A 26,530-nucleotide genomic window follows, 5' to 3' on the forward strand; every position below is an offset into this window, starting at 1 on the left:
CTACCCTATTAATTCTGGCAAGCCTCTTTAATTCTTATATCCACATTTTATAGTTTGCCTGCTCTGTATTTCAACAGTCATTACTAAAAATTCTTAGCATACTAGCTCTGGGAATGCTAACTTGCAATAAATGGGATGGGTAGATTAAAAAAAAAAGTTTATTAAAACCCATCATTCATTTAAAATAAAAGTATAATGAGTTTAGAATGAGTGCCTCAGGGATGTCCCATGAACAGATCGCATGACCTTTAGTTCATGGACTTTGAAAACCAATTTGATATAAGAGACTCCTCTATTTTTTTCTAAATGATGTCCAAGGGGATCGAGGTTGCTAGATAGATAAATTCCAGAGAAAGGCTGTTAGCTAACAATAACACACTAAAACTAGCCAGCTACATTTATTTCCCTTAGTCATTTCAAATTTGTCACCAACTTCCAAAAAACACAATTTACTTAAGATTTAAAACAATATATTCAATACTTCCAGAGTTTGGTTATCTGTAATCCTTTCTCATATCCACTGCAACTAAGAACTTACCTTAACTGGAACTTAAGGTACTCCTGTTGTACCAAGTATCCTTTTAGTTAAAAGAAAAAGCCCTGGCCGGGCGCAGTTGTTCACGCCCATAATCCCAGCACTTTGGGAGGCCAAGGCAGGCCGATGACTTGAGGCCAGGAGTTCTAGACTACCCTAGCCAACATGGTGAAACCCCATCTCTACTTAAAAAAAAAAAAAAATACAAAAAATTAGCTGGGCATGCTGATGCACCCTTGTAGTCCCAGCTACTCGGGAGGCTGAGGCAGAACTGTTTGAACCTGGGAGGTGGAGGTTGCAGTGAGCCAAAATTGCACCACTGCACTCCAGCCTGGGTGACACAGTGAGATTCTGCCTCAAAAAAAAAAAAAAAAAAAAAAAAAAAAAAAAAAAAGGAAAGCCCTTATTTTAAGTGCAGAGTAGGTGAGATTATTACTTTTGATTTTGGCTAGTCCATCAAGAAGAAAAGTTGACCCACAAGGTCCAGAAGGATAACATGTGATAAAATGCTAACCAGATTTTCAAGAATCTTTTATGCCTCCAGCTTTGCTTGCACTGCTTCAGCCAGTTTAACTGGTATCATCCTACATGCACCCATTTTCTCCACCACAGTTAAAATCTCTGGTTTAACTGTCCTCCTATAAAGTTTTTCCTGAGTTCCTCTTATGCTGAATTAGCCACTGCACTTTTTGCAAATAATACCTATCATAGAAACCTCCTGGGGTAGAGATTGTACCTTATTCACCTATTATCTCCCTCACCTGCCAAAATATCTGCCACATAAAAGGTACTCCATTAATGTGTCAAATAACTAAATGTTGTTAAGAATCCTTTCTTATATACATAATTACCTCATAGAAAAAAGTAATTTTTGGTCTTTCTGGTGCAAAAGGTTGCATTATTTTATAAGATTTATAAAATATTTTTTAAAAGCTATGTTTCCTTTGTTTTTGGAATACCATAGTGATTTTCAAAGAAAACACATTATCAGGATCATCTGAGAAATTCTTTTCAGCCTGAAAATGGGCAGCGCTTCCCCTAACTTGCTCCCCTCCTCAGCCTTTGTTACGTGCAGCCTCAGATACTGGGAAATACTGAGAAATATTTTCGGACTGATCCACTGTTACTTATGAGAGTATGTCATTCTGTCACCTTCCTCAAGTCTAGGGGTGTTAAAACAAAAATTGAGACAGTCTGAGATTCAAGTTCTAACGCTGTATATTTTCCTGAATAGGGACAATAACTGTTTATATGCAAAGTCTTTTTCCTTTTTTTTTTTTGGCGGTGGTGGGGCAGGGACGGGACAGAGTCTCACTCTGTTGCCCAGGCTGGAGTGCACAGGCATGATCTCGGCTCACTACAACCCCTGCCTCCCATGTTCAAGCGATTCTTGTGCCTCAGCCTTCCCTGTAGCTAGAATTACAGGCACATGCCACCACACCCAGCTAGTTTTTGTATTTTTAGTAGAGACAGGGTTTCACCATGTTGGCCAGGCTGGTCTCAAACTCCTGACCTCAGTGGTCAGGCTGGTCTCAAACTCCTGACCTCAAGTGATCTGCCCACCTCAGCCTCCCAAAGTGCTAGGATTACAGGCGTGAGCCACAGTGCCCAGCCTCAAAGTCCTTTTTCTAAGTAAGAGCAAAGTATTTTATACTAAAGCATTTTAATACATCCATTAATGAAACATTAACAAAATAATAAAAATATAACTTACCAATGTTGGAATAATATTCACTTAATATTTTGATTTCATGGCAAAATTGATACAAAATATTAACTTAAATTTCTGTATTTATTTACAAATTCACAAAAAGACAGCTGCAAACAGGAAGAGAAACCACGCAGACTTCCCAAGAGCCTCTTTTCCTTATTGAAACTTCCTTTAAGCATGCATAATTAAAGCAATCCATATTCCCTTGTAGCATAAAAAGTTAAGCAACACCGAGGCAAGGAAAAACCAGCTATTTTGAGCAACCCAAAACCAAGCTGCTAAAACAAAATATACAGGACCCACAGTAACACTGGAGTCATTAAGAAGTTCCTGTCCTCTTGTTTCATTTTCATCGTGCACTTTCTGGTAATGCTCCAATAAATCAATAGCAGTTATACATCTTTTCATACATAAGGGGCAGATGAAACCCTGTGAAATAACAACTTTTAGAAAAATATACAGAAAAATATTTTTATAAAACAAGACAATGCAAATAGAAATAACAAGAAAATAACTAGTGTATCTCTTCTGGTATACGTAAGGAAAATTTTCAAGTGGTAACTGTACAAAAGGTGAAAATCTATCCAAAGTAGGACTTCTAAAATTAGTTCCCATCCTTATGCTATAAATTTGCATTGGTTCAATTCCTTTTCATTATGGTATCCAGTTGCTTCAGTTAGAATATTATTTTGTTTATGACACTTTTAAAAAATTCTTTCTGCTTATGATACTTTGTCCTTACCTATGTAAGACCTATTATCGGCAAGTTAGCTTTTATTTTATTTATTTATTTATGAGACAGTTTCACTCTGTTGCCCAAGCTGTAGTGCAATGGTGCCATCTCAGCTCACTGCCATCTCCGCCTCCGGGGTTCAAGGGGTTCTTGTGCCTCAGCCTCCCGAGTAGCTGGGACTACAGGCGCGTACCACCAGGCCCAGCTAATTTTTTTTTTTTTTTTTTTGAGACGGAGTCTCACTCTGTCGCCCAGGCTGGAGTGCAGTGGCACGATCTTGGCTCACTGCAACCTCCTCCTCCCAGGTTCAAGCAATTCTCCTGCCTCGGCCTCCTGAGTAGCTGAGACTACAGGCATGTGCCACCACACCTGGCCAATTTTTGTATTTTTAGTAGAAATGGGGTTTCACCATGTTGGCCAGGCTGGTCTCCAACTCCTAACCTGAGAAGATCTGTCTGCCTCGGCCTCCCAAGGTACTGGGATTACAGGCGTGGGCCACCACGCCCAGCCGAGATCAAGAAATTACTGGCAAGTATAACAAATACTTTTATGTCATATAATGTGTTCAACAAAGAAGTTCTCTTTGAAAGTAATTTAATGAAAGTAATTTTTAGTCTTTACTATATTCCACTAGGTTGAGATCCCATTCTTCCCCACACCCATAATTCCCAGCAGATGATTCTTCCTTGTAATTTTCTGAGCCAAATAAAACCATCTTCAAACAGTATTTTAAATTACATATACCTAACAATATCTATATTTTAAAATATGGGCTGTTATACTGATGTATGTATGGCTTGAGGTTTTGTCAAATAAGAATAATAGGATGAGGGGCTGGGCATGGTGGCTCATGCCTGCATCCCCAGCACTTTGGGAGGCCAAGGCAGGCAGATCACTTGAGGTCAGGAGTTCGAGACCAGTCTGGCCAACATGGTGAAACCCCATCTCTCCTAAAAATACAAAAATTAGCCAGGCATGGTGGTGTGCACCTGTAATCCCAGCTACTAGGGAGGCTCAGGCCAGAGAATGGCTTGAACCCGGGAGGGGGGAGGTTGCAGTGAGCCAAGATCACACCACTGCACTCCAGCCTGGGTGACAGAGTCAGACTCTGTCTCAAACAAAAAAAAGAATAATAGGATGAGAGACTAGAATTGAAAGCATCAGGGAGAAAGTAAATAAAATGAAGACAGCAATAAGCATGAAATGTTATAACATCATGAGTGTCAGTGTCAAAAATAGATGTGGACTTGGGTCTTGGGTCTCAACCAATGCCTGATTATATGACCTTAAGGAAATCACTTTGCTTTGCTTAAATGTCCTTATCTATAAAATGGGGCTAATACTAGCACCTATTCTTCTAGAGTTTTTGTGTATATAAAATACTAAATACAGTGCTTGAGATATTGTAAGTGCTCAACGAATATGAATTGTCATTAGATGTACGCTTAAAGATGAAAGGGAAAGACTGAGAGACTAGATGAAAAGATAGCAATTAAAAACCTAGATTACTCAGCAAGGCCAAGGAAATGAAGTAATGAGAATATGAAGAAGAAAGTTTGTGAAAGGATAGACAATTATAGTAAAGAATGGGGAGATATGACTTTAATATTTCAGGTGAAACTATTGTGCCTGATGATACAGTAGAAGGTACTGCCATGGAATTAAGTAGCAAGAAAAGAGATACGAAAGATCATTGACATTGACAACATTAAGGAACTGGGAGGTTAAAATGTTCCTTGAGTTATCAAAGTCACTTAGAATAGCAAGGAGAGAGAGGAAGACTGAAAACAGATGCCAGATGGGAAGCAAGACAGGGTAGCAATTAAGAGCTAGGCTTGGGCTTGAATCCTGGATTCATATCACTCTTAGTAGCTATGAGACCTTCAATTGCCTCATCTGTTAAGTGGAATAACAATAACACCTACTTCATATGAATCTCATGACAATTAAATAAGATAATACATGCAATGCATTTATCATTGTACCTGGTACAAAGAAAACATTCAGTAAATGTTAGCTATCATTACTTTAATTATTCCTTTTGTTAATAACCTTTAAAGGAGATTATCCAGGGGATGAAAATGAGGAATATGAGTTCATCTTTTTTTTTAACTGATGAAAGAGTTGTCTTCCAGATGACCACAGTCTCAAGTGCTAGAACTACAGAACAATTCTTCTTTAAAAGATGCTTCAGCCCAGCACAGTGGCTCACACCTGTAATGCCAGCACTTTGGGAGGCTAAAGCAGGCAGATCGCTTGAGCCTAGGAATTTGAGACCTGCCTTGGCAACATGGCAAATTCCCATCTCTACAAAAAATACAAAAAAAAAAAATTTAGCCAGGCATGGTGGCATGCACCTATAGTCCCAGGTACTTAGGAGGTTGAGGCGGGAGGATCACTTGAGCCCAGGAGGTCCGGGCTGCGGTAGCCATGTTCACACCACTGCACTCCAGCCCAGGCAATAGAGTGAGACCCTGTCTCAAAAAAGAAAGAGAAAAAAGAAAAAAAGAAAAAGAAAATATGCTTCATTTGTTTTGTATTGTTTGAGACAGAGTCTCGCTCTGTCACCCAGGCTGGAGTGCAGTGGCACAATCTCGGCTCACTGCAACCTCTGCCTCCCAGGTTCAAGCGATTCTCCTGCCTCAGCCTCCCGAGTAGCTGGGATTACAGGCGCTTGCCGCCAGGCCTGGCTAATTTTTGTATTTTTAGTAGAGACGGGGTTTCACCATGTTGGCCAAGCTGGTCTCGAACTCCTGACCTCAGGTGATCCGCCTGCCTCAGCCTCCCAAAGTGCTGGGATTACAGGCGTGAGCCACAGTGCCCAGCTGTTTTGTTATTGCCACCATAGCTTTAGGCTGCCTTTCACTTTACTCTTGTTTTTCACTGTTAAGTTTCCATATACAGTCATTCATTCAAAAAGTATTTACTTGCTGGTATTCTACCATGCAGTAGGGTAACTGTGGTTAACAGTGAAATATTGTATATCACAAAATAGCTAAAAGACAGCCTTTTGAATGCTCTCACCACAAAGAAATGATACATGAATAAGGTGATGGATACACTACACTGATCGGATTATTATACAACATACATATGTATTGAACATCAAAATGTAACCCACAAATAGGTGTAATTAAAATGTGTCAATTTAAAAAGTAAATAAATTTTTTTAAGTAATATACGATTTTTTAAAAATCACATGGGCATGTGATTACTATGTTCTAGCTGTTGTGGTATGGTGCTAAGAATACAATGATAAATAAGACAAGGTCTTCACCCTCAAGAAGCTTACAGCCTCTCTGAAAAAGTTACCCAAAAAAATGACATTTTAGGCCAGACACAGTGGCTCATGCCTATAATCCTAGCACTTTGAGAGGCTGAGGCAGGCGGATCACAAGGTCAAGAGATCAAGACTATCCTGGCCAATGGTCTATTAAAAATACAAAAATTAGCTGGGCATGGTGGCACGCGCCTGTGGTCTCAGCTACTCGGGAGGCTAAGGCAGGAGAATCTCTTGAACCCAGGAGGCAGAGATTGCAGTGAGCTGAGATTGCACCACTGCACTCCAGACTGGGCGACAGAGTGATACTCTGTCTCAAAAAAGAAAAACTTACATTTTATGCCCCACTAATCAGAAAATCCTATTAAATCCACATTGAAAATGCATCCAGAATCTCAGCACCTCTACTGTTACCACTCTGCTCCAAGTCACCATCACATTGTACACAGATCATTACAACAGCCTCCTAACACTCTTTGCTCCTACCCTCACCCCACTAACACACAGCAGCTAGAGTGTATCCCATAAAAATGCAAATCAAATCTTGTCGTTTCCTTGCTTAAAATTATCCGATAGCTTTCTACGACAGTAACAGTTAAAAACTAAAGTCTGTATAATAGTCTATAAGGCCCTACAAGAGGCAGACCCGATCGCTGACCCAATCTCCCCCTTGCTCACTATGCTACAGCTACAATAGCCTCCTGGTTGCTTTTTCAACATGACAGGCATATTCCCACCTTAGAGACCTGCTGTTCCACAGACCTGGAAAAATACTTGCCCCAGAAATCCACGTGACTCATTTCCTCACCTCCTTCAGTTCTTTTTGTGTTATCCCCTCCTCAGAGAAGTCTTCCCTGATAACTATTTAAAATTGCAGCCACCAAGAACACTTTATATGCCTCCTTTCCTGCTTTATTTTTTTCAATAACACCAACTGTCTAACTTGATACATTTTTTATTTATTTATTTTTGAGACAGGGTCTCACTCTATCATCCCAGCTGGAATGCAGTGGCAGAATCATGATTAACTTGCGGCCTCGAACTGCTGGGCTCAAGCGATCCTCCCACCTTAGCCTCCCGAGTAGCTGAGAATACAGGTGCATGCCACCACTCCTGGCTAATTTTCTTTTTTATTTTTTGTAGAGATGGCATCTCCCTATGTTGTCCAGGCTGGTCTTAGGCGATCCTCCCACCACAGCCTCCCAAAGTGCTGAGATTACAGGCGTGAGCCACCATGCCTGGCCAATACATGTTTAGTATGTTTTTATTTTTGCCTATTTCCACCCACTTGAATGTAAGCTCCACCAGGATAAATACTTTTTAGTTTATCCTAACAAATGGGTAAAAGGGAGCTCTTTAACCCATCCCACCACGTGAGGACACAGGGATAAGACCCTATCTATGAACCGGGAAATGGGCCCTCATCAGACATCAAATCTGCCAGCACCTTGATCTTGGACTTCTCATACTCTAGAACTATGAGAAATAAATTTCTGCAGTTTATAAGCTACCAAGTCTGTGGTATTTTATAATAGCAGTCTGAACTTACTAAGATAAGCAGGTGAGGTACAGAGATTAGCTTATGGAAAAGCCCAAGAAAAGAAAAAACTTGGCACACTATAAAAACAGAGAATTCGATATGCCCGGATCAGAGTATCAAGAAGACTATGAGAAGAAATGAAGCTATAGAGGTAAAAAGAAAGCTGATCACCAAAAAAAAAAAAAAAAGATAAATAAACAACAACAAAAAAACTTCTAGAACAAGCTAAAGAATTTAGACTTTATTCTAAGGACAATTAATTGAAAGCCATTAACCTGGGTGTTGTTTTTTTTTTTTGTTTTTGAGACAGAGTCTTGCTTTATCACCTAGACTGGTGTGCAGTGGCACGAACTCAGCTCACTGCAACCTCTGCCTCCCAGGCACAAGAAATTCTCGTGCCTCAGCCTCCCGAGTAGCTGGGATTACAGGCATGTGCTGTCATGTCCAGCTAAATTTTTTTTCTTTTTTCTTTTTTCTTTTTTTTTTTTTTTTGTATTTTTAGTAGAGACAGGGTTTCTCCATGTTGGCCAGGCTGGTCTCAAACTCCTGGCCTCAACTGATCCGCCAGCCTGGGCATCCAAGTGCTGAGATTTCAGGCATGAGCCACCATTCCTGGCCTAACCTGGGTTTTAACCAGGAAAATGGCATCATAAAATCCTAGCGATATTTTAAAAGAATAGATTCAATTGGAAGAGAGAGGAGATAGGAGGTGGGTAACATCAGATAAAAGGAGGACAGTTACAATAATATGTGAGGGTTAATGATTGATGGTAGTCTGTGTTAAGGCAGTAACAGAATGGATTAAAATTATTGCTTAAGCAATTTCAATAGAAAAGGTTTTCTGAGAAGGTGATAATTGAACTAAAATTAAAATAATTTTTTTTTTTTGAGACAAAGTCTTGCTCTGTCACCCAGGCGGGAGTGCAGTGGTGCGATCTTGGCTCACTGCAACCTCCACCTTCTGGGTTCAAGTGATTCTCCTGCTTCAGCCTCCTGAGTAGCTGGGACTACAGGTGCGTGCCACCACACCCTTTAGTAGAGATGGGGTTTCACCATGTTGGTCAGGCTGGTCTCGAACTCCTGATCTCGTGATCTTGGCCTCCCAAAGTGTTTGGATTATAGCCATGAGCCACCACGCCTGGCCTAAGAAATGAGATTTGATAGGTAGGTGGAGGCCACAAATGCAGGGCCTTATAGACCATGATAAGATATAATGGAATTTATTTTGCATAATAGGAAGCCAATGAATTTTCTTTTTTCTTTTCTTGCTGGGAAGCATAGCCTCCAGCAGAAGCTGGAAGCAGGCATTTCCTAAAGCCAATGAAGATTTTAATTCAGGGAATGGCCTGATCTGATTCCAGTCCTTGTGGTTGCTCTTTGGAGAAGTGACCTAAAATGATAAGGATAATACACCCTTATGATCATCTAGGTGACCAGCAGAAACAGAAAGAAGAAGATAAGACCAGGCACAGTGGCTCACACTTGTAATCCTAACACTTCAGGAGGCCAAGGTGGGAGGATTGCTTGAAGCCAGGAGCTTGAGACCAGCTGGGGCAACATAGCAAGACCCCTCGCTACAAGAAAATTAAAAATTAAATTTCCATACAGCTACCTTTGGAAAAAACAAAAACAAAAAACAAAAAAGGTGGGGGAACGGACTGAAGATATATCTGGGGGCTAAAATGAATAGGACTTATCATGTACTGAATATGGTGGATGAGGAAAAGGAAGAATCAAGTTTACTCTGAAATCCTGAGCTTCAATATCTGAGATTTTCTACAATTTTCAGCTTTCTGAGACAGCTAAAAGAATAGCAAGTTGAATGTTGGGGTAGGAAAGACTGGAGGGCAAGAATTTAGCTTAAACAATAAATTTAGGACAAATATTAAATTTAAAATGCATATTAAAGTCCTAAGCTTCCACCTTAAGAATCTAGAAAAAAGATGAGCAAACTAAATCCAAAGTAAGTAGATGGAGGAAATTAAATATAAAAGCAGAAACCAATAAAAGAGGAAAGCAAAACACAGAGAAAATTAACAAAGTCAAAAGTTGGCTACCTTAAAAATTAATAAATGGATAAACTAATAGGAATAATTAGGAAAGAAAGAAAAGGATAAAATATTTTATCTCTTACCAAAATCATGGGATATCACTACAGATGCTATAGACATTTATGCCAATAAATTCAACACATTAGATGAAACAACAGATTCCTTAAAAACACAATTCACCAAAACTGACTCAAAAAGAAACAGAGAATCTGAGTAATAATCAATACACTTCCCAAAAAGAAAGCTCCAAGCCCAGATGGTTTTACTAGTGAATTCTAGCAAACATTCAAGGTATACCTCCCTAATTTATGAGGCCAGGAAAACCCAGATACCAAAACCTGATACAAACATTTCAAAAAAGAAAATTACAGACTGATATCCCTCATGACCAAATGAAAAGGTCCCCCAAAAATACATAAACAAATGAAATCTAGCAGTATACAGGCTGAGCACCCATTATCTGAAATGCTTGAGACACTTTTGGATTCTGGATTTTTTTTTTTTTTTTGTATTTTGGAATATTTACATGATACTTACCAGTTGGACATCCTAATCCAAAAAAATCCAAAATCTGAAATGAACATCATTTCGGCACTCAAGTTTGGAATTTTGCAGCATTTCGGATTTTGAATTTTCAGATTAGGGATGCTCCACCTGTATTAAAATAGTAACAACACAGCAAGACCAAGTGGAGCTTATCCTAGAAACAAGAGTAGATCAACATTCAAAAATCAATGTAAATCTTCACAGTAACGGAAAGAGAAAATCATATTATCATCTCAATAGATGTGGGAAAAGCATTTGGCAATATTCAAAATTCATTCAAAGGGAAGGGGGAGGGGAAAAGAAGGGAGAGAGGGAGGGAGGGAAGGGGAAAAGCTCTCAGAAAACTAGAAAGCATCCTTAAGCTGATCAGAAAAAAACCCATGGCTACCATCATTCTCAGTGGTAAAAACCTTAAATGCTATTCCCTAAGTTCACAAAGTAAAATACTTACTCTCCCCAATTCTATTTAATATTTGACCCAAATTAAGGCCCAATATTGTGTGCTGCCTTGACATCTGGTGAAAGTGGGAGGGCCTCAAATGGCCTAACCAGAAGTTTGCCTCCCCATTCTCCTCCCACAGATAAGGCTGCCTACTCAAACAGCCCTTCTGATCACAGGGACCAGGCACAGTCCCTGCTTATCCCTACGTAGTGGGTTTCCCATGTCCTGGTCCCCTGCCAGCCCACAGACTTATCCAAACAATCCAATCATATCCTTCTTTAGGAACCAGAAGGCACCCCAGACTCTTGATACTACCAAGCCTGCCTCCTACAGCCCCTGGTTGTTCATTTTGTTCCCAAATGTAATCTACATGTAGCCATGCATGGCATGTAGTGTCCTACTCCCCTAGGCTGTAAACATAAAACAAACTGCTGTTGATCTCAACTGTCCAGTGTCACGTGTTACATGTTCAGCCATTCCCATAACCTGGGGCAAAATCCCTCCTTCACTACACAGTAAATAGGAGGCAATGAAAACACTGGCAAATGCAAATGACTTGCACCCAGTATAAAGGAGTCTCACAATTCAATAATAAAAAGACAATCCAATGTTTTTGTTTTTTTTTGAGTTGTGGTCTCACTCTGTCACTCTAACTGGAGTGCAGTAGTGCAATCTCGGCTCACCGCAGCCTCCACCTCACAGGAGCAAGCGATTCTCCTGCCTCAACCTTTCAAGTAGCTGGGATTACACGCACACGCCACAGTGCCTGGCTAATTTTTTTTGTTGTTGTTGGAGGGGGCGGAGTCTCACTCTGTCGCCCAAGCTGGAGTATAGTCATGCAATCTCGGCTCACTGTAAGCTCCACCTCCCAAGTTCTCACCACTCTCCTGCCTCAGCCTCGCGAGTAGCTGGGACTACAGGCACCCACCACCATGCTCGGCTAATTTTTTTGTATTTTTAGTAGAGACGGGGTTTCACAGTGTTAGCCAGGATGGTCTCGATCTCCTGACCTCGTGATCAGCCCGCCTCGGCCTCCCAAAGTGCTGGGATTACAAGCGTGAGCTACCACACCTGGCTTAATTTTTAAAATAGGCATTTCCAATTCCAGAAAAAATGGCATAGATGCACTTTTCCTTATTCCTTCTGCCAAGTACAGCTAAAATTCATGGACATTACATATAAAACAAATGTAAGAAGACTCTGAAAGATACAGAGGGGAAGGCAGACCAGTTAGTGATCTCAGGAGACAAGGAATGACAGACTGATGAGTTCTTTGCCTCATATATTCTGAAATGAATACTAGAGAAGCCAGCAATCTGGAAACACCAGACTATGCTAACAAGAAAAGCCTGCTCTCTCTAGGCACATGATCAGGGATGAGGTAGTCCTCCCACTGCTAAATCTGACTGGCTTTTTAGAAAACGGGCTCAGTGTAGTAGATCATGCCTGTAATCCCAGCACTTTGGGAAGCCGAGGCGGGTGGACTGTTTGAGCCCAGGAATTCAAGACTGGCCTGGGCAACATGGCAAGACCCCATCTCTATGAAAAAAAAAGAACAAAAATTATCAGGGCCATGGTGATGTGTGCCTATGGTCCCCAGCTACCTACTCTACTCGGGAGGCAGTGGTAGGAAGATCACTTGAGCCCGGGAGATCGAGCAGTGATCACACCACCACAATCAGCCTGGGCAACAGAGTGAGATGGAGAGGAGGAGGGGAGGGAAAGAAGGAACGGAGGGAAGGAAAGGAAAAGGAAGAAAGGGAAAGAAAGGCGATGCAGTACTGAGATACTACAACATCTGGAGGTCAGTTGAAGAGGTAGGAAAAACACCAGAAGAGAGGTATCAGAGAAGCACAAGAAAGACTGCGTTATTAGACAGCAAGAGTCGACTGGACTAAATGCGTCTAAGAAGTAAAGTAAGATGAGGACAAAGAAGTACAGATGAGAATTAGTAAAAGACAGGCCATTAGTGAGTAGTTTCAGTGGAAAAACTGAGGATGGAAGCCAGCTTGGAATAGGATAAACAATAAACAAAGACATTTACTTCTAGCAATATGGTGTACTAAACAGTCTGAACTGTCCTGATGAAAACAATGAAATGATATAAAATATCACTTATTACATTATGTATTACATATATTATATATGTTATTACAGCTGACCCTCGAACACCGCAAGTTTGAACAGTGTGGGTCCACTTACACGTGGATTTTCTTCCACCTCTGCCTCCTCTGAGACAGCAAGACCAACTCCATTTCTTCCTCCTCCTCCTCCTCATCCTACTCAACATAAAGACAAAAATGAAGACCTTTATGACCTTCCACTTAAAGAATAGTAAATATATTTTCTCTTTGTTATGACGATTTTCCTTTTCTTTTTTGGCTCTATGGAATCTTTCTAGTCATATGATTTTTCTTTTTTTTTTGTTGAGACAAAGTCTCACTCTGTTGCCCAGGCTGGAGTGCAGTGGAGTGATCTCAGCTCACTGCAACCTCTGCCTCCTGAGTTCAAGTGATTCTCCTGCCTCAGCCTCCTGAGTAGCTGGGATTACAGTCACGTGCCACCATGACTGGCTAATTTTTGTATTTTTAGTAGAAACATGGTTTCATCACGTTGGCCAGGCTGGTCTCAAACTCCTGACCTCAGGTGATCTGCCCGCCTCGGCCTCCCAAAGTGCAGGATTACAGGCATGAGTCACCGTACCTGGCATCTTTTTTTTTTTTTCCACTTTTATTTTAGATTCAGAGGGTGTATGTGCAGGTTTGTTACCTGGGTATATTGCATGATGCTGAGCTTTGGGGTACAAATGATCTTGTCACCCAGGTACTAAGTATAGTACCCAACAGTCGGATTTTCAACCACTGCCCACCCCCTTCCCTTCTCATTCTAGTAGTCTCCAGTTTCTGTTGTTGCCATCTTTATGTCCATGAGTACCCAATGTTTAGCTCCCATTTATAAGTGAGAACAAGCAGTATCTGGTTTTCTGTTCCTGTGTTAATTTGCTTGGGATAATAGCCTCTAGCTGCATCAGTATTCCTACAAAGAATATGATTTTGTTATTTTTATGCCTGTGTGGTATTCTGTGGTATATATGTACCATTTCTTTTTTTTATCCAATCCACCATTGATGGGCACATAGTCCGATTCCATTTATTTGCTATTGTGAATAGTGCTGTAATGAACATACAAATGCGCATGTCTTTTTGGTAGAACAGTTTGTTTTGTTCAGATATATACTCAGTAATGGATTACTGGGTTGAATGGTAGTCCTGTTTTAAGTTCTTTAAATCTCGAAACTGCTTTCCACAGTGGCTGAACTAATTTACATTCCCACCAGCAATGTATAAGCATTCTCTTTTCTCTGCAGCCTCACCAACATTTGTTTTTTAATATTTTAATAACAGCCATTCTAACTGGTGTGAGATGGTATCTCATTGCGGTTTTGATTTGCATTTCTCTGATGATTAGAGATATGGACCATTTTGTCACGTTTCTTGGCCATTTGTATGTCTTCTGAGAAGTGTCTGTTCGTGTCTTTTGACCATTTTTTAATGGGGCTTTTTGCTTGTTCAATTGTTTAAGTTTCTTACAGATTCTGGATATTAGACCTTTGATATCTGCAAACTTGGCTGCACAGTTTGCAAATATTTTCTCCCATTCTGCAGGCTATCTCTTAACTCTGTCGATAGTTTCTTTCACTGTGCAGAGGCTCTTTAATTAGTCCGGCTTGTCAATTTTTGATTTTGTTGCAATTGCTTTTGAGGACTTAGTTATAAATTCTCTCCCGACACTAATGTCCAGAATGATGTTTCCTAGGTTTTCTTCTAAAATTCTTATAGTTTAAGGTCTTACATTTAAATCTTTAATCTATTTTGAGCTAAATTTTTTATATGGTGAAAGGTAGGGAATCCAGTTTCATTTTTCTGCATAAGCCACATGATTTTCTTAATAATATTTTCTTTTCTCTATCTTACTTTATCGTAAGAATACAGTGAGACACGTTCATCAGCTTGTTCTTTTCTGCCCGCGGACGCCACTGAAGAAGCATCGTTAAAGTCTCTCTTCTCCCTTCCGTCATGTCTAAGTCAGAGTCTCCTAAAGAGCCCGAACAGCTGAGGAAGCTCTTCATTGGAGGGTTGAGCTTTAAAACAACCGATGAGAGCCTGAGGAGCCATTTTGAGCAATGGGGAACGCTCACGGACTGTGTGGTAATGAGAGATCCAAACACAGAGCACTCCAGGGGCTTTGGGTTCATCACACATGCCACTGTGGAGGAGGTGGATGCAGCCATGAATGCAAGGCCACATAAGGTGGATGGAAGAGTTGTGGAACCAAAGAGAGCTGTCTCAAGAGAAGATTCTCAAAGACCAGGTGCCCACTTAACTATGAAAAAGATATTTGTTGGTGGCATTAAACAATGAAGAACAACACCTAAGAGATTATTTTGAACAGTATGGAAAAATTGAAGTGACTCAAATCATGACTCACTGAGGCAGTGCCAAGAAAAGGGGCTTTGCCTTTGTAACCTTTGACGACCATGACTCCGTGGATAAGACTGTCATTCAGAAATACCATACTGTGAATGGCCACAACTGTGAAGTTAGGAAAGCCCTGTCAAAGCAAGAGATGGCTAGGGCTTTATCCAGCCAAAGAGGCTGAAGTGGTTCTAGAAACTTTGGCGGTGGTCGTGGAGGTGGTTTTGGCAGGAATGACAACACTGGTAGTGGAGGAAACTTCAGTGGTGGTGGTGGATATGGTGGCAGTGGGGATGGCTATAATGGATTTGGTAATGATGGAAGCAATTTTGGAGGTGGTGGAAGCTACAATGATTTTGGCAATTACAACAATCAGTCTTCAAATTTTGGACCCATGAAGGGAGGAAACTTTGGAGGCAGAAGCCCTGGCCCCTATGGTGGTGGAGGCCAATACTTTGCCAAACCATGAAACCAAGGTGGCTATGGTGGTTCCAGTAGCAGCAGTAGCTATGGCAATGGCAGAAGATTTTAATTAGGAAACAAAGCTTAGCAGGAGAGGAGAGCCAGAGAAGTGACAGGGAAGCTACAGGTTACAACAGATTGTGAACTCAGCCAAGCACAGTGGTGGCAGGGCCTAGCTGCTACAAAGAAGACCTGTTTTAGACAAATACTCATGGGTATGGGCAAAAAACTCGAGGACTGTATTTGTGACTAATTGTATAACAAGTCATTTTAGTTTCTGTTCTGTGGAAAGTGTAAAGCATTCCAACAAAGGGTTTCAATGTAGATTTTTTTTTTTTTTTGCAAACATGCTGTTGATTGCTAAATGTAAGTCTGATCATGATGCAGAATAAATGTCTTTTTTTAATGTGCAAAGAAAAAAGAATACTGTATATAATATATATATAACATGCAAAATATGTGTGAATCAACTGTTTATATTATAGGTAAGGCTTCTGGTCAACAATAGGCTATTAGTAGTTAAATTTTTGGGGAGTCAAAAGTTATACATGAATTTCAGCTGCACAGGAGGTTGGCACTCAAATTGTTCAAGGGTCAACTACACGCTATAAAATATAAAATATTATATAAATAGAACCAAAGTTAGCTTTCACCCTGAATATTTCTTTAATGTCCTGGAGACCATGATATTTCCAATTTAACTTAGAAGCTGTTAAAGGCACAATGTTAAAACCTACAGCTTGTCCAAAGTAGGAAGCCAAAGTCAATGTAAAGGTAAAAAGGAAACAAACCTCAGAGAGACAGAGACAGAGACCAACCAAGACCTTGTCTGTACCTTAGTATTGGTGGCATATGGAAAAAACAATTTCCCCTGAGAATCCATAACCACTAATAGCCCTCAATTAGATTAGCAGTCAGAATGTATGCTATTGTATAATCTGAAGAATTTCAAGCTCAGAACTTAATTTACGGCAGTCCCCAGTTAACAGCACCTCTCTAATGTTCCCCAGTTAACGGCACCTCTCTAATGTTCCCATCCACTAAGTGGAAGTGGATCATGACAAAGTTTTTCATCCTTGTTGTCTCTGAGTAGGCTGAAAAGCAAGAGAAAGAAGTGGAATGGGTCTTGCTGTCTCAGAGGTGGCAGAGGTGGAAGAAAATTCACATATAAGTGGACCTGCGCAGTTCAAACCTGTGTTGTTCAAGTGTCGGCTGTAATAACATATATGTAATACATAATGCTGAGCAAATCCTCGCTGCAAGAACATCGACATAGCCCACAAAGAGTTTCCACTAGAAAAGTTCCAAGGAACATAAATTCACAATCGAAAAAAATTCACAAAATACACAAGAGAAAAAGCCACAAGCCATTACGAGTGACATCCAACAGAAAGAACTGGCAACAGAGTCAAACCTATAAAGTTTCAAATACTATAATGCTATAAACATTACCAGACAGAAAATATAGAATAATCATATTTGAATGTTTTAATAAATAAAAGGGAAGCTTGAAAATTAAAGCAAAGAACAAGGAACTAAGAAAAAGAAAGATCAAATTTGAAAAAAAAAAAAAACAATCAGAACTAGCTGGACATGGTGGCACATGCCTATAATCTCAGCTACTCAAGAGGCTGAGGTGGGAGGAATGCTTGAGCCCAGAAGTTCAAGGCTGCAGTAAAAGCTATGATTGCACCACTGCACTCCAGTCTGGGTGACAGAGCAAGATCCTGTGGAAAAAAAGAAGAGGCGAGGAGAGGGGAGGGGAGGGGAGGGGAGGGGTGGAGAGAGGAGAAGGGAAGAGAAAGGAACGCCAGGAGGGGACTGGAGGGGAGAGGAGGGGAAAGGAGGGGAGGAGAGGGGAGGGGAGGGGAAGGGAAGAGAAAGGAAGGGATGGGAGGGGAGGGAGAGGAGGGGAGGGAAGGGGAAGGGAGGGGAGAGAAGGGAGGGGAGGGGAGAGAAGGGAAGGGAGGGGAGGAAAGGGAAAGAGAGAGGAGGGGAGGGGGAAGGGGGAAGGGGAGAAGGGGGAAAGGGAGGAAGAAAGGAAGGAAGGAAAGAAGGAAGGAAGGAAAAAAGAAAAAGAAAAGCCAGTCACGGTGGCTCACGCCTGTAATCCCAACACTTTGGGAGGCCGAAGCGGGCGGATCACAAGGTCAGGAGATCGAGACCATCCTGGCTAACATGGTGAAACCCTGTCTCTACTAAAAATACAAAAAATTAGCCGGGTGTGGTGGCAGGCGCCTGTAGTCCCAGCTACTCGGGAGGCTGAGACAGGAGAATGGCATGAGCCTGGGAGGAGGAGTTTGCAGTGAGCCGAGATCCGCACCACTGCACTCCAGCCTGGGCAACAGAGCGGGACTCCATCTCAACAAACAAACAAACAAACAAACAAACAAAAACAAAGAAAAAAAGAAAGAACTTCTAGGAATGAAAAAAAGACATTTAAAATGAAAATTAATGGCATATTAAACAGCAGGTATTCTCCATAGCTGAGGAAAGATTTAATTAATTGGATAATTCATTTTTTAATCCAAAATGAAAAACAAAAAAAAAGGATATAAAATATAAAACAGGCCAGGCACAGTGGCTCATGGCTGTAATCCCAACATTTTGGGAGGCCAAGGCAGGAGGATCACTTGAGGTCAGGAAGTCAAGACCAGCCTGCAACCAGAGTCACAGATGGAGACCCCATCTCAAAAACTAAAACTTAAAAATTTAAAAAATAAAACAGGGAGGGGTGCAGTGGCTCACATCTATAATTCCAGCACTTTGGGAAGCTGAGGCAGGAAGACTGTTTAAAGCCAGGAGTTCAAGATCAGCCTAAGCTACATAATGAGAGCCCATCTCTACCAAAAACAACAACAACAACAACAACAAAAAGCCAGGCATGGTGATGTGCACCTATAGTCCCACTACTGGAGACGTCAGATTGGGAGAATTGCTTGAGCCCAGGAGTTTGAGGTGCAGTGAACTATGACCACGCTCCAGCCCAGGCAATAGAGCAAGACCTTGTCTCAAAAAATAAAAATAAAAAAAATACCTATGATAGAATAAATGATAAAGGGAGAAATTTTAACATACAGGAAGCCCCCAACTTAGAATAGTTTGACTTAAAATTTTTGACTTTATGACTGATTTATCAAGATGTAACCCCATCATAAATCGAAGAGCATCTGTATATCTAATCTAGGTTTCAGATGGCAATATCAGAAAAAAATTGAGGCAATAGTCAAAGATAATCACCGAGAATTTTCCAAAACACTTCAAATACACATTGGTGTGTACAGAAAGCCCAATGAGTCTCAAGCAGGATTAAACACACACACACATAACAGGAAATGAAAGAAAGAGACTAGAACAGATTAATTTATTGGCTGATTAATTATAAAAAACAACCACAGGAGTAGAGAAAAGGATCCCTTCAATAGAACCAAATAGACTAAAAGCAGTCTTCTCAACAGTAACAATGTGACCCAGAAAAAAGACAGAGATGGAAGTTTTCAATGTGCTGACAAAAAAAAAGGTCTGTATGTAGAATTTTATGCTCAGCAAAATCGTGTTTCAAGAACGAGCATGAAATAACATTTTAGACTGAAACTGAGAGTCTAGCAAATCAGTCCTCATTTTAAAAAAATCCTAAATGATGTTCTATAAAACGAATAAAATAGGCCGGGCGCAGTGGCTTACGCCTGTAATGCCAGCACTTTGGGAGGCCGAAGCAAGTGGACCACAAGGTCAGGAGATCAAGACCATCCTGGCTAACATGAAACCCCATCTCTACTAAAAATACAAAAAATTAGCCGGGTGTGGTGGCGGGTGCCTGTAGTCCCAGCTACTCGGGAGGCTGAGGCAGGAGAATGGCGTGAACCCGGGAGGCAGAGCTTACAGTGAGCCGAGATCGCGCCACTGCACTTCAGCCTGGGCGACAGAGCCAGACTCCATCTAAAAAAACAAACAAACAAACAAAAAAAAAAACCCAAGAAAACAATTGTAAGTGGAAGGCTGAAGATGCAATAAGGAATGGTAAACAACTACACTGGTAAATACATGGATAAATCTAAAAATAATAATAACCTCTAATTTGTGAAGATAAAAGAAAATAAGATAAATCTAAACTAATGAACCACAATATAAGTTAGGAAGTAGTGATCCATATCAAAGCATTCAAAAATCCTCGAAACGGAAGGAAAGAAAAGTATGTTAGACATTATGTATGTTACAAAAGAAACAAAAATGGGCCAGGCATGGTGACTCACACCTATAATCCCGGCACTTTGGGAGGCCAAGGCAGATGGATCACTTGAGGTCAGAAGTTCGAGACTAGCCTGGTCAACATGGTGAAACCCTGTCTCTACTAAAAATACAAAAAAATTCGCAGGGTGTGGTGGCACGTGCCTGTAATCCCAACTACTTAGGAGGCTGAGGTGGGAGAATCATTTGATCCTGGGAGGTGGAGATTGCAGTGACCCAAGATCATGTCACTGCACTCCAAGGCAACAAAGCAAGACTCTGTCTCAAAAACATTAAAAAAAAAAAAAACACTAAATGAACAGAATATAGTGCATAATATCCAAACTAGTAGCAGTACCCAGGACTAAACCCAGCAATGTACTCCACCACCATGTGAAGGTTGCTTACCAAAGGGCCAGCAAATAAGGAGAATGAACAGCTAGAGAGGTAAGAAAAAAACCAGAAGTGTGTGGTATTACAGAAGCACAGAAAAGGGTGTGTAGTAAGGAAGTTAAATCCAAACTAAGGCAAAAAGAGAAAAAGAAACAGAAGAGCAGGACAAAGAGAAAGTACATAAAGAGTAATAAAAATAAATCAAAATATAACCAAAATAATTCAAAGGGGTTTAGCGGTTTTCCCAGTTAAAAGACAAGTGTTAACGCTCTTTGCAAAAAAAAAAAAAAGAACAAACCAAAAAAAAACCCCCACCTAAAACAAAAGGAACAAGAAAATACGAAAATGAAAAGAAAGATAAAGTCCGGGAGCAGTGACTCATGCCTCTAATCCCAACACTTTGGGAAGCTGAGGCAGGCAGATCACCCGAGGTCAGGTGTTTGAGACCAGGCTGGCCAACATGGCAAAACCCCGTCTCTACTAAAAACAAAACAAAACAAAACAAAAAAATTAGCCAGGTGTGGTAGCATGCACCTGTAATCCCAGTTACTCAGGAGGCTGAGGCAGGAGAATCATTCGAACCTGGGAGGCAGAGGTTACAGTGAGCCAAGATTGTGCCACTGCACTCCAGTCTGGGCAATAGAGTGAGACTCTGTCTCAAAAAAAAGAAAGAAAGAAGAAGATACACAAAATACTAATCAAAACAAAGCTGGGGTTATTCCACTACTATTAAACACCAATTCATCAAAAAGATATAACAGATCTAAGTAGATAAAATATGAAGCCAGTGACTGTAAACAGCATATTAGAGAAGTTTGGCTCTGAAGGAAAGCAAATAACACATGGTACCTGAAGACGGGATTTCAAGTCAAAGAAAGAGTTTTTGGTCTTGGTTTTATTCATTTTTGATTTTTTGGTGTTCTTTTCTTATTTGTTTTCATATGAATCATATTGAACAAATTTGTATGTTATTGGGAATTATATGAAGTAGAGGTAAAAAGTGAAGTAGCAGGAGGGAGAGAGGATAAATTAAAAATGAAAAAGAATGGAATCCACAGAACAAGAGAAAGGACTGAAATTTTATAAAAAGGACTTTTTTTCAGTGTAATAAAGTAAGAGGAAACAGGTATGGTATAGGTATGATAAAATAAGAACATTTATCTAATGGTTCCTATTTTCTCAGTTATATATACGGTGACTGAGAGAAGGTTAAAAAGAGACAGATTTCAAAACAAAGAAGGTACAAAATAACTATCTCAGAAAGTAGGAAGTTAATCCTACTAATATGATATTAACAGTATTGCCAGGCACTGCTCAATACCAATACCCATTGGAATTGTTTTTTGGTGTTGTTCTGATTGAGGTCAACTAAATTATTACTAGATTCCTTTCAGTTCATCATATTATGAACACAGTTTAGAACATTTTTCTTAAAGACATTTACTGAAACTTGTTCTTAATAAAGTCCAGCTGATAGTTTTCCTCCCCTCTCGCAAATCTGTAAAATCTTACTATGGTTAAAATACATACACATGGAGACAAAAAATAAACACATGGTCAGAGAGAGACAAAACAGAATGATGAATGGACAGAAAGAGGACATATCCAGAAACGTATGCACAATACACAGACTCATCAACCAAGAGGTGGAGAAGAGGATAGCAGAGAAAAAAAGACTGGGTAAGGACTACAGCTAGGCCTTCAAAGGGGCAACTGACAAAAACTATCAGAGCAAAATTTGAGCATCTTCATCTCTTCGTGGCAGTATTATGGGTGAGTGTTATGTTCTTCACATTCCTTATCTCCTTTTTCTATAATCATCCAATATTACTTATTTATTAAAAATAATATTAATGCAACTAAAGCTGACTTTTCAAATTTTTGGAATTTTTTTACTTATTTACAATAATTTCTTCATTTTTAATATAATGTATTTATATTTAATATAATGTCTTTAATATCAAAGACAAAAGTCCTTACAAAGTCATACATGAAGACAGTAAATAATATGTAAATTTTATAGATAACCCAATTTTTCCTTAGTCCAATAACAGTTCATGACAGTACACACACATAAATAGATACTAATTAACCTGTAATTCTTTATAAACAGACGTTTTAAAATCTTCAGTGAGATGACATTAGCATTAAAGACAAATTGGCAATATTATTTTTCAGAGTCTTAATGTACACTTTCTCAGTCTCACAACTAGGCACAGGCATATAGCTACAAGTATGTTTCAAAAGTCACATTCCAACTTTTACAAGAAAAACTTGTGAGAACTTTTCCTATACAAATCACCAATCGTTACACCAAATATTTGCTCATTTTCCCTTAATATTGAATTTTATTGCCAAGTTATTATTTTCATACCTCTGAAGAGCTTTCATTATTGACGTCCACTGTGTTTATAGGAGTTGCTGATGAATCTAAATCAGAACCTTGAGAGCCAACTCTCCCAGGAGTCTGGAACACAAACAGTAGGGAGGAAAAAAAAACAAAGCAGACATTAACAATATATTCATCGGCCATTTAATAATCTAAACCTTTTCACATAAGAAAAGTAGATGTCTTTACAATAATAACAGTACTAACAGTATCATTTATGGAAGAGTGTACCTAATGCTGTATCAAAATCTCTATATATGCATTTCTCTCATTTTAAGTCACTTTAAACAAAATGTATACAACACTTTACAAAGTCTTCAAGTCACCTTCACAAAACATCATATTTAATCAAAATGACATCTCTTAAGACAGGTAAGATGGATGTTATCTCTGTAGAGAAGAAAACAGATTTAAAGCAGGAAGTGACTTGTTCACCATTGTACTCTTTTGTTTTGGTTGTTTTTTGAGTTGGGGTCTTGCTCTGTCACCCAGGCTGGAGTGCAGTGGTACAATCTTGGCTCACTGCAACCTCCACCTCCCAGGCTCAAGCGATCCTCCTATCTCAGCTACCCAAGTAGCTGGGACCACAGGTGCACACCACCACACCCAGCTAATTTGTTGTATTTTTGGTAGAGACGAAGTTTCACCATGTTGCCCAAGATGGTCTCAAACTCCTGAGCTCAAACGATCTGCCCACCTCCGCCTCCCAAAGTGCTGGGGTTACAGGTGTGAGCCATAACGCTCAGTCCACCATTGTACTGTCAGCAAAAATCAGAAAGTCCTCAAGATGCAAGTTCAAGGAAGAAGAAAAAAAATCAGAAAGTTCTCAAGATCCAAGTTAAAGCAAAAAAAATCAGAAGATGCAGAACTAAAATGCAGATCTTCTGATTCCTTTGACAATGCTTTCTCTTTTCTTTTTTTTTTTGAAACAAGAGTCTTGCTCTGTCATCCAGGCTGGTCTCACTCTGTCATCCAGGCTGGAGCATAGTGGCACGATCTTGGCTCATTGCAATCTCCACCTCCTGGGTTCAAGCAATTCTCCTGCCTCAGACTCCTGAGTAGCTGGGACTACAGGCACATGCCACCATGTCCAGCTAATTTTTTTTTGAGTAGCTGGGACTACAGGCACATGCCACCATGTGCAGCTAAATTTTTTTTGTATTTTTAGTGGAAACGGGGTTTCACCATGTTGGCCAGGCTGTTCTCGAACTCCTGACCTCAAGTGATCCCCCCACCTTGGCCTCCCAAAGTGCTGTGATTACAGGCATGAGCCACAGCGCCCAGCCGGCAATAGTCTCTTTTCTACACAAACTAAAACTACAGTGATTCAAGTGGTGCAAAAAAGACCAATGCAGCCCAAGTTATCAAGTCCCCATCACCTACCACTCAAACCAATCATTACCATCCAGCTCCAATACTTGATATGACACCATCAGAGACACATTTTGGAGGGTTAAAGGTCTTTTCCCCCTGTACCATTTATCACTTAGCATTATCATTCATTAAAATCTAGGTGTTACTTTTATATCAAATTGCTTTTTGGATGAATCTGAAACCTAGTAAAACACTGGGTAAAAAGAGATTTAGAGCACAAAAACTGACTCAATAATACTCATCAAAAATATATATGGTATATGCTAGCATTATCCACACTTTACAAATGAGGGAACCAAGGCATAGAGACTAAGTAAATTGCCCAAGGTCAGATGGGTAATAAATGAAAGAAGGGATTTTAATTAGAGCAGTGTGGCTCTTAATCACTAACCAATACTGCTTCTCTGTTAGACATCTCCACTGAAATGCCCCTCAATCACCCAAGATTCAAAACACCTCACTACATATTTGCCTCAACATGTGAACATCCTGTACATCACTACTAAATGTTCAACCTAAATCCAAATAAGGATGAATTCATAATGCTATATTCATCAAAATGATTATAAAAACTATATACAATGGAAAAATATACACAGTATGATTTAAATTATATATAAAAACTACTGATATAAGAAAAAAGATTAAAAAGAAATATTCCAAAATTCAAATAATGATTTCTGTAGCAAGACAGGAATCTTCATTTTTATTTTTTTCAGTTTTCATTTTGCTACTTTTTTTTTCAGAATTTTAGATCCATACTTGAATTGCTTTTATCTTGAAAAAAATGTTTTATGTTAAAGATAAGCAAACCTCCAGTTTAATAGCCAGCATTCCTTTTTTTTTCCTCATGCAGATACTTTGCACATTTATTTACAGGCATATCTCATTTTATTGTGTGTCTCTTTATTGCACTTTGCAGATGTGGCGCTTTTTAGATATTGAAAGTTTGTGTCAACTCTGCCATCAAGCAAGTCTATTCCTGCCATTTCTTCAAAAGCATGTGCTCACTTTGTATCTCTGTGTCACATTTTGGTAATTATCATAATATTTCAAGCTTTTTTATTATTATCATATCTGTTATGGTGACCTGTGATCAATGATCTTTGAAGTTACTACTGCAATTGTTTTGAGGCACTACAACCCATACCCATATAAGATGGCCAACTTAATTGATAAATGTTGTGTGTGTTCTGACTGCTCCACTCACTGGCCATTTCCCAGTCTCTCTCCCTTCTCCTTGAGCCTCCCTATTCCTTGAGACACAACCATATTAAAATTAGGCCAATTAATAACCCTATAATGGCCTCTAAGTGTTCAAGTGAAAAGAAGAGCTGCTCATTTCTCACTTTAAATCAAAAGCTAGAAATGATTAAGCTTAATGAGGAAGGCATGTGGAAAGCTGAAACAGACTAAAAGCTAGGCCTTTGTGCCAAACAGCCAAATGTGAATGCAAAGAAAAAGTTCCTGGGGAAATTAAAAGTGCTACTCCAGTGAACACACAAATGATAAGAGCACAAATTGCTGAGAATGTTTTAGTGACATGGATATAAGTTCAAACCAGCCATTAACGTTCCCTTAAACCAAAGCCTAATTCAGAGAAAGGCCCTTCAATTGTACGAAGGCTGACAGAGATGAGGAAGCTGCAGAAGAAATGTTTGAAGGTAGCAGAGGTTGGTTCATGGGATTTAAGGAAAGAAGCTGTCTCCATAACATAATAATGCAAAGTGAAGCAGCAAGTGATCATGGAGAAGCTGCAGCAAGTTATCCAGAAGATCTAGCTAAGATAATTGATGAAGATATCTATATTAAGTAACAGATTTTCAATTCAGAAAAAAACAGCCTTCTATTGGAAGATGTCATCTGTAACTACTATAGCTAGAGAAGAGAAATCAATACTGGGCTTCCAAGCTTCGAATTCCAAGCTTCAAAGAACAGGGTAATTCTTGTTAGGGGTTAATGCAGCTGATGACTTTTAAGTTCAAGCCAATGATCATTTATACCGTTCTGAAATTCCTAGGACCCTTAAGAATTACGCTAATGCTACTCTGCGCTCTATACATAGAACAAGAAAGCCTAATTAATAGCACATCTGTTTACCACATGGATCACTGAATTTTTTTTTTTTTTTTTTTTTTTTTTTTTTTTTTTTTTTTGAGACGGAGTCTCACTCTGTCGCCCAGGCTGGAGTGCAGTGGCCCGATCTCAGCTCACTGCAAGCTCCGCCTCCCAAGTACATGCCATTCTCCCGCCTCAGTCTCCTGCCTCAGAGTAGCTGGGACTACAGGTGCCTGCCACCAAGGCCGCCTAATTGTTTTTTTGTATTTTTAGTAGAGACAGGGTTTCACCGTGTTAGCCAGGATGGTCTCGAT

At 39.8% G+C, this 26,530-nt stretch overlaps 1 protein-coding gene and 1 pseudogene across 2 annotated transcripts in view; one reads left to right on the forward strand and one right to left on the reverse strand.

Moving 5' to 3' along the window:
• Window positions 1–26,530, reverse strand: part of EEA1 (early endosome antigen 1) — a 158,659-nt gene that overhangs the window by 98,223 nt on the left and 33,906 nt on the right. Inside the window, exons 2-3 of one of the 2 annotated variants that reach the window (XM_011538814.3) lie at window positions 22,770–22,862; window positions 2,550–2,675 (exon numbers count right to left, since the gene is read on the reverse strand). In XM_011538814.3, the coding sequence (XP_011537116.1) occupies window positions 2,550–2,675; window positions 22,770–22,862 (219 nt within the window). The remainder of the gene's footprint in view (window positions 1–2,549; window positions 2,676–22,769; window positions 22,863–26,530) is intronic. The other variant, NM_003566.4, reaches the window with a different exon arrangement.
• Window positions 14,833–16,041, forward strand: HNRNPA1P50 (heterogeneous nuclear ribonucleoprotein A1 pseudogene 50; annotated as a pseudogene).

Source organism: Homo sapiens, chromosome 12 (assembly GCF_000001405.40).
Source record: "Homo sapiens chromosome 12, GRCh38.p14 Primary Assembly".
Lineage (NCBI taxonomy): Eukaryota > Metazoa > Chordata > Mammalia > Primates > Hominidae > Homo > Homo sapiens.